We start from the raw sequence: 13,319 nt of genomic DNA on the forward strand, positions 1-13,319 counted from the left end.
AGAAAATAATAAACAATACAATATAGACAAAGAATATCTAACATGCATATCATTAAAGTCCTTGAAGAAGAAAGCCGAACTGAATAAGACTAACTGTTAAATATATAATTCAAAAATACTTCCTGCCACATAAATACTATGAACCTACCTATTGAAAAGGCACAAAATATACCACGGAGTAGTTAATAGTTAATGCTAGAATATATACTGTGATATACCTTGTTGACATTGGTGGTTTTTTACAATAAAAGGAAGAATTTCTCTGGCAAACAAGGCGAAAGGTCAAGTCATGTGTAAGAGGAAACAAAAATCAAACTGAGTTCAGATTTATCCTAAGCAACATTCATTGACAGGAAACAGTGGAACAACATCTACAAAATCCTTAAGGAAAGAAAGTGTTAGACAAAGATTTTATATCCAGCTAAGCTTTCTTGGCTGGCAATTTTGAACATGGAATGTCCAGCAAATATTTACCCATTATCCCTTCTTGATGAAATTACTAGAAAACAAAACTTCAATGAACCAAGGAATGGCTGAGGAGATAAGACAAAAGAATTGGAGGTGGTGAATATATTCAATCCATTTTGATTGAGAAAGACTAAAAGAGAAGTGCATATGAGAATGAGAGCATAATGCACACTTCCAATGCCTTGACAATGTATAATAGAAATGATCCAACAACATGAATTAGGAAGAGAAGAAAGATGAGAGGTAAAGTAAGTTCACTGATTGCTTCATTAATCATAGCTGGGCTAGAAGTCATTTATTTATTACATGCTGATAGAGCATGTAATAGAAAATTAACTATATTTAGGTGTACAAAGTAAACCCAAAGAAAGATAAAATTATGGACTAAAATCTGGTGATAATAAAGAGAAAATTTATTATTGCTCATAGCAAGACTAATAGTTACTATCTAAAGAAACATGAATGTTAGCAAGATAATTGAATTCATCTGTATTTCATGATAAAATGAACGAAAAATAAGCAAAGGTATAGAATATCTAAATACCCTAATAAAAAAGTACACCTGATTGATATTAATCATACTTTGTATAATAAGAGAGAACATACCTTGCTGACAAATCACACTCAAAAGCTGGTTGTGTATTAATTAAGTCACCAAGTAAACCATAATAAATTCTAAATAATAAATATGCAGACAGCATTATATTATTATAATTCAATGACTATTAATTATAATAAAAAAATACTCCACCATTGGAGATTGATGAATTATTTCTTAATGAATTTTTAGTACCAAGGAAATATATAGCGTATAACCTCAGCTTATCCAGACAATTATAAAAATCAAAACAGAACATGGGATACAACTAAAATCAAAAGAAAACTCAAAAGCTTTGCTATTCTTATCTTTAAACACTAAGACTTAACATCTGATGCAAGAAGTTAGAAAAAGACAGCAAGATGAACATAAGGAAGACAGAAAGGACAAATAAGAAATTAAAAAGTTAAAAATCAGTCTTAAAAAGAAGTAAAACTAGTCATGTGAAAGCTGATTTTTAATAGATTATCAACTAATCAAGACAAAAGAAAATATAAGCACATAAAATAAGTAACAACAGAAGCAAGAGAAATTTCGAAAGTCATAAGAATGATACTACTCGACTTTATGTAAATACATATGAAAATCTTGATCAAATGGAAAATTTTTAGTGAAATTACTAAAACTTAGTCCTGTGGGACTATAAAACATAAGTCCATTTTCTGTAGAAGGAACAAATAAAAGTTGTTAAAAAAAAACTACTCTGGGAAAAGTATCACTAGAGGAATTATATCACCATTTAAAGAATAATTACAATGTTATTTAAATTATTCTATAGTGAAGATGAAGAGAAAAATTTTCCAGATATTTCATATGAAATAAGCATTTTAGTTTTACTAAAGCTTGATAAATATTACAAAGAAAACTACAGACTGATATGGTTAGGCTTTGTGTCTCCACCCAAATCTCATCTTGAATTGTACCCAATCTCAAGTATTGTCTTTATAGCAGTGTGAGAACAGACTAATAAGCAGGCCCTATCTTTTTTAGGAATAATATAAGTATCATTTCACAGAATATCATAAAATATGTAATATTAACATATTCAATTATTAAATTAATATTAATAAACAGATTCGTGTAGAGCATTTAAAAATAATACTTGATGATCAAGTAGAGATTATTCCAGAAATGTAATGAGAGTATGATAGTAAAATCAAGAATCCCCATCTGGTCTATAGTTCTTCACTAAACTTGAACATGTGGTTGGTTATTGGCTAACCTTAATTCAATAATGACACTGTTCTTAGCATATCACATCTATTAATTCATTTTATTCTCAGACACATTCATTTTCCCATTTTATTCATGTAGAATGGAAGGCACGAAGAGGTTAAATTACTTGCCCAAAGTCACCCAGCTAGTAATTGCTCACATTGAAATTTGAACCCAAGTCTTCTGGCTCTGGAGACCATAATCTTATGAATTTCTTCACTTCTCTGGGACAAATAAATTAAGTATATTTTTCCCAACTTCCTAATGCTTATGTTACATACAGCACAATCAAACAGAAATGAGTTATCATGCCAGTGCCTAAGAGAGGCTGGTTATGTTTCTGAGGCACCTCAGAGGCCATCTGTGGTCCCACTGGCGATGATCTGAGCAAATTCCTTAACAAATGCCTAGCCACAGTAAGTCCTCTGTAAGTTTCGACTACATCACGATTGTCATGGAAGGATGGAGCAGGATGGTGTCTGCCTGCTGTGGATGTGTAAACTTCTATGCGTCATGCATGGTATCACAAGTTCATGAAAAGAAGCCTCAGAATCCCTGAGAAGTAGCCAAAGATCTTTGAGCCAAAGATCTTTATTTCCCCATATTGAGTCTGATACTCTTTTTCATGCCTCAAAAGAATTCAGTCAGGGTGTTTAGAAAAATTAATTATTCTACTAAATAGATGACAACTCCCCAATAAATGTGTTTTATAAGTACAGATATGCATGCATTTTTTTGCAAGATAAACATGTGCAATGTGAAAAAGTCAGAGCCTCAGAATTATTAAGGGGGAAAGCGAGCAACCAACCAACCAAGAGAGCAAGGTGATCAAGAGCAGAGATTGAGCTAGGAGCTTCCAGGACTTTCTCAAGGGAAGGCATTTTGTTCTCTACTGATCACCCTCCAGTGACTCCTAAAGCCTAATTCCAAATCTCATTTTTCTACAGGTGAATGTTTGCACAGAGAGTGACGGAACAAGATCCCCAAAGGAGAAGTGGTTAATCCTTTGCTTTCATGTGAGTGCTCAGGCTCTTGAGATTAATACCAGGATGTGTAAACTACACCTTGTCATTTGTATTCATGTCAGTTTTATTATGTTATTCAGTACTAATAGATTAGAATTCCAGAGCATTCCTCACTGGCAGTATTCCTGGGAAGTAGTAAAGACAGACAAGCATCTTCACATGCATAAAAAGAAGCTAATTCATATTTTTGCCTCCTGCTTCCTAGTGAAGAGTAAGCTCAGTCAAGTGTGTTTCTGATGTACACGGCAGGCACTGTGTGATTCCTTAGTAAACAGCAATTAGTGGTGACGATGGATGCTAATACCATATTAAAATAAACTTACAAGGCCAGCCCAACACAGAAGAGCATGGAAACTCCCTCTTGGTATGAGACAGAATGATCTGTATCTTAAACAACTGCACAGGCCTCAAAATATTACTCATCCAGGAAAATAGAAGGCTAAGTACCAAATATCCATTCTAATATTCTAAATAGAGGTATCACTGGGGGAGGATATATATTTTCAAGTTTTGGTTAATAATAAAAGTTAAAAAACAAAGAGCATCCTTCAGTTTTTAACTATTAACTTTATTAACTGGAAAAACATTCTCCTTCTTCAAATAGTTGGAGCAGGTGGTGTGGGAGAGTGGCTAACAGTGTGGCATTGGGACTCAGACTGACATGGCTTTACCCCTGACAAGTGGTGAAAGCTTAGTTTGTTGATTCCTGATCTACAGCAAGGATCAGATGAGACCAAAAAAGGGGCTGTGAACAATGCCTGGCAGATATCTAGTGCTCATTGTGTTTGTTTTTGTTAGCTCTCTAGTCACAGTTTTCATCTAACCAAAATGTTGCCAGATAATTCTCATCTTTATGGATAATTGGTAATCTGTTTCTCCTTTAAAATGTTTTCAGTGTCATGGCCGGGCATGGTGGCTCACACCAGTAATCCCAGCACTTTGGGAGGCCGAGGCAGGCGGATCACCTGAGGTCGGGAGTTCGAGATCAGCCTGACCAACATGGAGAAACCCCGTCTCTACTAAAAATACAAACTTAGTCAGGCATGGTGGCACATGCCTGTAATCCCAGCTACTTGGGGAGCTGAGGCAGGAGAATCACTTGAACCCGGGAGGCGGAGGTTGCAGTGAGCCGAGATCGCACCACTGTACTCCAGCCTGGGCAACAAGTGCGAAACTCTGTCTCAACCACAACAACAACAAAAAATGTTTTCAGCGTCAACTGTCAGAACCTGAGTAAGATCAGATTAAGAGAAGGCAGAGTGAGAATAGCATTCAATATCATGGTATGTTCACCATATGTACTATGCTTAGAGTGGTTGTAGGGGCAGTGGTGATGGTGGTGGTGAGAGGAGTATGGAAGACATACAGTTTGAGGTTGTTTTAGGCCGGGGGCCAATTAAAATTTAAGACGCTGCTGGAAGTCAATTCAAACAGCAGATTGAATTATTTTCTTTCTGATCAGATAGTTTGGGGTTCTGTGTTAACAAGAAGGATGCTCCTCCCTTAGGAAGGAGAAAACAGACTAGAGTAAGAGCCAATTCTACCACCTTTAAAGAAAGTACCGAATTATTCTTTTTAAAAAGGCTCATTGATGAGTTGAGGGAGACCAAACCAAACAAAACATAACAGAACTGTTGTCTCTCTGTTTTGGGAGGAGTGCCAGAGAAGGCTCAATACAATGGACTTTACTGCATCTAAGTTCCACGTCACGGCTCAGATCATTTGTCCCAGAGCCACATAAGCAGGTGTGGCTGCTTTTTGCTGATGGCTCTTCAGAATGGTCCCTTGGTGGCATCATCCCACTGCCTCCTTTTGTCCTGAGGCTTCATCGCTCTCTCTTCACTGGGAGAAGAGATAATGTCTGTTTTCAGATCTATTCATGAAATACCAGACTTGGCAGAGCAGCCTCCCTGGAGAACCTGATAATTAAGACAGTTGCTTAATTAGAATGATGATGTGTGTGTCTGCACTGAATGCCAAGCACTATAATTACACTGTGAACCTGAAATGTGGGCCCCAGGCACTTCAGGTCAGCTTTCTAGGTATTTGCTTGCTTCATGGGGAAGCAAGGGCTGCTCAGTGTTCCTAACACATTTTAAACACCTTAGGCGAGTTGGAATGAAGGTGGGTTTTGCAATCAGATGACCTGTCTTTAACTCACAGATCTGCCACTCACCAATAGTGTGATTTGGGCCAAATTTTAAAACTCCCTGAAGCTCAATTCTCTTTTCTGTTACATAGAATTGATTATGTGTGTATCATAGTATTGTTAGAAAGATTACATGAAATTATATTAATATAGTCCTCAGGAAATATTAGGACACATTCATTATTTGGTGTTTTCACCAGCGTAGTTAATTATAAACACTTGGATAAGTTTGCAGAATTTAGCAAATAAAAAATATAGATAAACAACAATTTTCTAGCATAAGTATATCCCAATTGACATGAGTCATACTTACATTAATACTAAAAATTATTTGTTGTTTATCTGTAATTCAAATCGTACTGGGCATCATGTATTTTATCTGGTGACTCGACATTTGAGGGATCTCGAAATCCTCTTTTTGAAATATTCGTTTATAGAATAACTGGGTGAACACTATCAAAGCTATGTTAGGTCTCTCAAGCCAAACTTTCAAGTTCTACTCAGAGTGCCCTGGCAGAAAACAAACCTCAAACTTTCCAGCTTTGGATATTCAAAATAGGAAAAATACCCAATGCAAACAGAGCCCTAAAAAACAAGAACTGTGAGTATAATGTTCTATCATTAAAAAAAAAAGATTTGTATTAAAAAATCATTTAGGAATTCCCCAAATCTGAGAAAAGCTCCTTTGGCCTGTTTAAACTTGTCAAGAACAATTATAATTGCCCATTCTGAGCCTTGGGAAGAAATGACAGATTCTTCTTACCTTAGCCAAAGCCCTTAAAGCCCCAAAAGGCCAGAACTGCACCAGAGATTGGGAAACTGCAGAACGTCTGTGTGTGTCTGCAGAGGGGTTTCTCTTCTTAGCACATTCAGTGAAAGTCTTCAAAGGCAAAAAGTTTCCTAGCTTAGACTCAAACAGATGGCCCTCTGCTTCTCTCTAAACCAGTATGCAAATTAGTATATCCTCTAAGGTTAGGGGTGAGAGGGGAAGGCATGGGAGAATGTAAGCATAATAATTGTCTCTCAGAGCTGTGAGAATTAAAAACAAAAAAAGATAATATATCTTACAGAAAACCTTTAGTACAGTTCCCAGCATACAAATATCACTACTAGAGAAGATCAGAGAAAGGCAGTTGGGAATAGGAAGGTCCTGGAGACGGGGTAAGGGGACATTGGAACATCCCCAGATACCTGTTAGGAAGCAAGTTCTGGGAATAAACACAAGGATGGGTTTTGCTTTGCCATACAAAGTTTTGAAAGCTAGAGGTGAGACACAGAAAAGCATTATGTACTAATGCTTGTGTACAAACGGGATAATGAAGAACTAGGGAAGGCAGAGGGCTTTACTAACCCTAATCCTCACTCTGTCCTAAATAAGTATACACTCTACATATACTCTCAGTGACCAAAAATGAGGGTAAATTATGATCTATGCATCCATTTAAAAGTACACTGTTAGGCAGAAGGAATAAATTCTAGTGCTTGACGGCGCAGAAGGTTAACTGTAGTTAACAATATGTTGTATATTTCAAAATAGCTAGAAGAAAAGATATGAAATGTTCTCAACACAAAGAAATGGTAAATATTCCAGGTGATGGATATCTTAAATACCCTGACTTGGTCATTACACATTCTATATGTGTACCAAAATTTCTCATGTCCCCCATAAATATGTGCAAATATTATGTATCAATAAGTAATAAAAATAGTAAAAAGGGTTTTGCCTGAAAACAAGGAAATAATTACAGTATTCAGTATGAATTTTGTAAATATATATATAAAAGGTTTCACTGGGCACTATTGGAAAAGGTACACTTTTGAAGAATGAGTATTTTTTGAGATGGTCACACTATTTTGCTAAATAAAAATAAACAATTGACAAAAAATTGTGTGTATAAAACTAAAAGGATAGACATCAACATGTATGTACCATGATGTCCTAGAGGTAGAAGGATTATGTGTGATTACATAAAGGATCACTTTTTATAACTTCATGTATTACAGATTTCCTACTCTGAATATTATGCCTTAATTTTTAAATTAGAAAAGATGGCATCTATGAAAAATACCATTAACATCCATAGATAATACCCCTCCTACATCCCCTCATAAAAATTTAAGATTTTGTTAGGGATTTGCTCATATGGAAAATAACAGACAAAAAAAGTAGGTTAGCTCAGGGCAGTCAGTGATGGAAAGTCAAACATGCCAAGTGGCCAGCATGGAGTAGAGTGTCAGGAAAGGTGGATGGAGGCAGAGTGTGGCCAGCACAGCCATCTCTACTCCTTTTTGTTTGTTTGTTTGTTTGTTTTTGAGACAGAGTCTCACTGTGTCACCCAGGATGGAGTGCAATGCCGCTATCTCGGCTACCTGCAACCTCCGCCTCCCGGGTTCAAGCGATTCTCTTGCCTCCGCCTCCCAAGTAGCTGGGACTACAGGTACACTACCACACCCGGCTGATTTTTTTTTTTTTTTAGTAGAGATGGGGTTTCACCGTGTTAGCCAGGATGGTCTCGGTGTCCTGACCTCATAATCCGCCCGTCTCGCCCTCCCAAAGTGCTGGGGTTACAGGCGTGAGCCACCGCGACGGGCCGCCATCCCTACCGTTTACAGACAGCGTCCATCTCACTGGTGGGTCCCTATGCAGTCCAACTTGCTCCACGTCTGAATGTCAGTCCTAGATACAAAGCAGAGAAGTTTAAAGTAGGGAATGGCTTCTTTTTTCCTTTTACAAAACATAATGATGGTAAGACACAATATTGGAGCTGGGATGAAGGAGAAGTAGATATAAAGATATGGAGGGGCATCCCTTAAGGGATATAAATAGTTTCACAGATGAAATGCCTAAAGGAGAGAGAGGAGAGACAGATGAGGAGACAATTATCTCAAAGGAGGAAAATGGTCAAAAGGCAAAGAATAATGTGTGTGAACTCTCCGGTGCATGGTAAGTACTATAAATATCTTAGTTGTACTAGTGTTAGTCAATCAAGTATTTGTAGTTGCTGTTCCTACAACGATTTTAACTGCTACTGTAACTACTCTCACTGCTATTAAGACAACTATTATAACTATTGTTATAACTACTACGTCTGCTAGTACAATAACTACTATTATGACTGCTACCACAGCTACTATTACTGCTGTCATGGGATCCTTGAGGTGTCGTTTCATCAGCCAGAAACCTCTGTTGCTGGCAGCACCTTCTGCCTGAGTATTGCTCGTGCCCACTGGGCTTGTTCCGCCCACTTGGCCCGGTAGGCTGTGCTTGGCTCCCGCCACCAGCCCAGATCCCACACCTGCCCAGGGAGAGCTAGGCGCGGAGCCGCAAGGGGTGTGTGGGTGAACGAGCGCAGGGACCGGCAACAGCCATACATACCGGCTGCTGCAGTGGGGCTGGCAGCTCCAGGCGCCAGCACAGTTGTGGCTCTGCGTGAGGCTGGACCAGATGGACGGCATGTGGATTCTGCTGTGGGCACCTGTTTGGATGAAGGGAACGAAGGTGGTGGCGCCTGGAAGCTTGAAGATGCCAGGAACCATAGAACCCCAAAGGGAGTGTCACAGCCCTGGCTCAGGGAGACCCTAGGTCTGGGATCCTCAAAGGAACACAGCTCTTTTCTCCTTCTCGTCACCCGCAATGTGGCAAGCAAGGGAGCGTGTTTCAGCCCTGTTTGTGTTAAAGCTCTTTTAGTACCTCCAGGCGGGTCCTGAGTTCTTGTCCTGCGTCCAGGGAGATGAGGTATTGCGGACAAATGGAGGCTTAGCAAGATGGAGAAGAGCTTTATTGAGTGGCAGAACAGCTCTCAGTAGACCTGAAGCAGGTAGCTCCTTTCTGCAGGAAGGTTGTCTCTCCTTTCCGCAGGAAGGTTGTCCCAACAAGTTGAGAAGACGCACAGTGGGCAGCTCCTTCCCGCAGCTGGTACTTCCGACTTCGCGTGACTCCGGCTGCGTCCGGGGAGCGGGGTTTTTATGGGTTCAGAAGGGAGGAAGTGCATGCTGATTGGTCCATGGGTGGCCATGGGCGGGCCTGGAAAAAGAACCATTAGTGCTCACTCCAGGCCACAGACTCCGACCGGAACTGACAGCGCGGCCTCCAGGATTGAAGCCATCCCTGGCTTGAAGGTGGGGCTTCACTGGGACCCGTCCCTTTCTGTCCAGTAGCCTGTCTTCCTTTTGCTGCCATCAACGTGCCCTCCACAGCACCCAGGCTGTTCGTTTTGAAGGGCGCCTCTAGGCCTGAGCCCAGCAGCCCACAGCGCCTCCTCGCCTCTCTCCCGTGCTCATCAGTGCCCAAAGTCCAGAGGGGGCTGAGGAGGCAGGGGGCTGGTGTAACAGCGCCTCCCTGAGCATGCGCACGCCTGGCCAGGTTGCAGCAGCACCCAGGCTTGGCCATCACTTTGCTCCAAAATTGAAGTGGGCACAGGGAGCAGGCAGAGGCCAGGAATGGGAGCAAGCAGGCACTGCTGAACCTGTGGGGTCAGGGGCTTCCTGGCCCCCCGAAAGCACAGGGATGCCTGGGTCTGCGGCGGCAGCTCTGCAGCTGTGCCCCTAGCACGGGTTCCCCACCCTTTAGCTCGGTAGGGGGCGGGACCCCTGCCTGTTCCCAGCTCCCCCCGCCCCGGCCCTCCACCCACCCTGGCTTTGCTGAGTGCGCAGCTCTGGCGGCACCTCCCCTGGTGCAGCCGGTGTCTTTGCAGCGGCCGCTCCAGACAGGTGGCCGGTGCCATCACTGCTGCTACTACAATTACTATTGTGACTACTTCTGTAACTATGGTCATTCTATTTTATAGGGTTGTTATGAAAGTCACTATATGTAAAGCTCATACATATGTGCTTGGCACACTGTATGCCCGTAATAACTCTACAGCATGTCTATGTGTCTATTTTTATTTATGTATTTTTCTTTTCTTTCTTCTTCTCTTTCTTCCTTCTTGTTTTTTGTTTTTTGTTTTTGTTTGTTTGAGAAATACAGGGTCTCACTTTGTTGCTTTATTGCCCAGGCTGGAGTGCAGTGGTGTGATTATGGCTCACTTCAGCCTCAACCTCCTGGGCTCAAGCAGTCCTCCCACTTCAGCCTCCCAAGTAGCTGGGACTACAGGTGCGATACACCATGCCTGGCTACTTTTTTTTTGTTATTTATAGAGATGGGTTCTCACTATGTTGTCCAGCCTGGTCTTGACTCTTGGGCTGAAGCAATTATCCTGCCTCAGCCTCCCAAAGTGCTGGAATTACAGGTGTGAGATACCACACCTGGCCTGTGTAGCGTGTTTACAAGTGGATTGTTTGAACCTTATTTTTATGGTAGCATTTACATACAAGGTTGTAGAGATATATTGGGAGAAAATTGTCTTACGGTCCTGAATGCCAGGGAGTTTGGATTTAAATTTTAAAGGAATCCATCAAATTTGTAACTAGGGAGTGAAAACTTATATACTGCTAGTTGAGGAAGACTAAATCTGACAGTAAAGTACAGCCTAAAAACAGAAAAAAAAAGTGAAATAGAAAATTTTATTACAATGCTATCATACTAGTTCAGGCATGAGCTAATAAAAGCCTGAAATGAAACAGGGACCATGGGGATTGAAGGGCTTGCATGAATATCAGCAGCAGCTTCAAGTGGAGAATCTTTCATCAGAAAAGGAGAAAAATAAGGTAACTCAAGTCCTCAAATCTGAGTGCAATAGACAATGGATATTCCCCCAATATGAAAGTATTGGTTAGTAAGAAAACCCATGAATTTAGTATTAAATACGTTCCCTTTTCAAGAACAGTCAGACTGTTAGTAGAAATGAGCACTCTCCCACCTGCAGATTTGGATTTGGAGAGTTATCTTTAGAGAAGTGATGTTTGAAATTGCAACAGTGATAGGCATCCCTGAAGAAGAGGTTATTGAAAAAACAGCAGAAAAGACAATTTACTCAACTTCCATACTTACCTGTTAAATGGAATCAAAACATATCTTTCAGGTTTTCTTGTGATTATTGAACAAATGATGCCTGTAGATCTTCCATACCCTTCAATATGCCACAAATATTATTGCCCTTTCCCACATTATAAAGCCAATTTCAGAGAAAAGTTCTATGAACGTCTTCAATCATTAAAATCTCCTTAAGATCTCACAGTTTTCAAATAGAGGTCATCATCCTTCTTCAACCCCATCAATATGAGTATATCTAGTCACTTGGAGGAAGAGGAACAGTTATTGAGTGCATACAATGTGCCAAGCACTTATGTATGAGCTTTACATACAGCCACTTTCATAACAACCCTATAAAATAGATTGGTCCTTGTAGTATTAGCAGTCATAAGAGTAATTGCAGTGATAGCAGTGACAGTAGTTGTAATAACAGTCACAATACTAGTTGTAGTAATAGTAACTACAAATCCTTGATAGATTAATAATAATATTACAATTAAGATATCAATAGCATTTACTATGCATCGGATAGTTCATATATGTTATCACAAATAATTATATAAAACTTTAAATGTGAGTATTATTATACTCATTTGTTAAATGAGGACATTCAGAATCAGATTAAATAACTTTCTACCAATTAGAGAATAGAGAGCTCAGGCCGGGCGTGGTGGCTCATGCCTGTAATCCCAGTGCTTTGGGAGGCCAAGGCAGGCAGATCATGAGGTCAGGAGTTCGAGATCAGCCTAGCCAACATGGTGAAACCCCGTCTGTACTAAAAATACAAACAATTAGCTGAACGTGGTGGCAGGCACCTGTAATCCTAGCTACTCGGCAGAAGAATTGCTTGAACCTGGGAGGTGAAGGTTGCAGTGAGCCGAGACCACGCCACTGCACTCCAGCCTTGGCAATAGAGTGAGACTCCATCTCAAAAAAATAAAAAATAAAAAAATAAAGAGAGAGAGAGAGAATAGAGAGCTCAAACTATGACTGTCTGGGTCTGAAGTTCATTGTCTTTGCAGCAAGGGATTTGATACTCCTAGATGAAAGCCCAAGGTTCAGTTTTTGTCTCACTGATTTGCAGTCTAAGGAACTCAATTTTATCAGTTTACCCTGTATCTATTAGGCTTTGAAGTTGTCAGTAGGAATCAAATGACAATAGTCTTGAATAAATTGGAAGAGTCTACATTAAGGTACCCTCAGGATGTATCTATAAAGACAACTGGCTTTTATCACTTACTTAAGGAAACCCTTCTTCTGGAAAGTAGGTCAAACTAGAATATGAAATAACAAACCAGAGACCTGCTGGTTGCACCAATAACTAGATAATAGAAGAAATTGATGTTCTTAAGAAATACCTCCATTGCTAAGATTTCTTAATAAGTATCTCATGATGTTTAGTTCTGTATAATTGAGAGTGATTCCCTAAATCTGAGCCCCTTTTCTCCAGCCAGGGACACTGAAAATGCCTGAAATAAAGCAGTGGCCTTGGGAATAGAAGGGCTGCCATGAATAGTAACAGCTGCATCAAGAGTAGAGATTTTCATTAGAAAGGGAAGAGACTGAGATAACTCCAAGTCCTAAAATCTGGGTGTAGTAGACAACGGATATTCCCCTAGATAGCCTGAAAGTGTTGGTTATTCTGTTCCAAGGAAATAGAATTTTATTCTGTCATTAACACCAGAACAGAATAGTGTTGATGACAGAATTCCACTTAAAAGATTCTATTCCCTTGGCGGTAGTTTATTGTGAATTTGCCATTACTTTCACTTTTTCACTTGAGATTCCCTCTCTTGGGATTTCTGAAAGGCAATCCTATGCTCTATCCTGAAAACACAGTGACTTCAGAATGACAGTCATTGTGATGAAAGCATCAGTCCCTCTTATTCTCTAAAAAGTGCAATGTCCATGTGGATCAGAAGAAAATATGCCCTGAAGTCCTAAGTAACC

At 40.0% G+C, this 13,319-nt stretch overlaps 2 long non-coding RNA genes across 3 annotated transcripts in view; one reads left to right on the forward strand and one right to left on the reverse strand.

The window, feature by feature from the left end:
• Positions 1-4,854: 4,854 nt before the first annotated feature.
• LINC01579 (long intergenic non-protein coding RNA 1579) lies at positions 4,855-9,395 on the reverse strand. Its single transcript, NR_138083.1, has 4 exons — positions 9,147-9,395; positions 8,832-8,931; positions 8,060-8,132; positions 4,855-5,225 (listed from the first exon to the last, which is right to left on the reverse strand). It is a non-coding gene; the product is annotated as a long intergenic non-protein coding RNA 1579 (long non-coding RNA).
• Positions 9,396-9,496: 101 nt separating this feature from the next.
• LINC01580 (long intergenic non-protein coding RNA 1580) overlaps positions 9,497-13,319 on the forward strand; it is an 83,450-nt gene continuing 79,627 nt past the window's right edge. For both annotated transcript variants that reach the window (NR_120323.1, NR_120322.1), the window contains exon 1: positions 9,497-9,574. This is a non-coding gene — a long non-coding RNA (long intergenic non-protein coding RNA 1580). The remainder of the gene's footprint in view (positions 9,575-13,319) is intronic.

Source organism: Homo sapiens, chromosome 15 (assembly GCF_000001405.40).
Source record: "Homo sapiens chromosome 15, GRCh38.p14 Primary Assembly".
Lineage (NCBI taxonomy): Eukaryota > Metazoa > Chordata > Mammalia > Primates > Hominidae > Homo > Homo sapiens.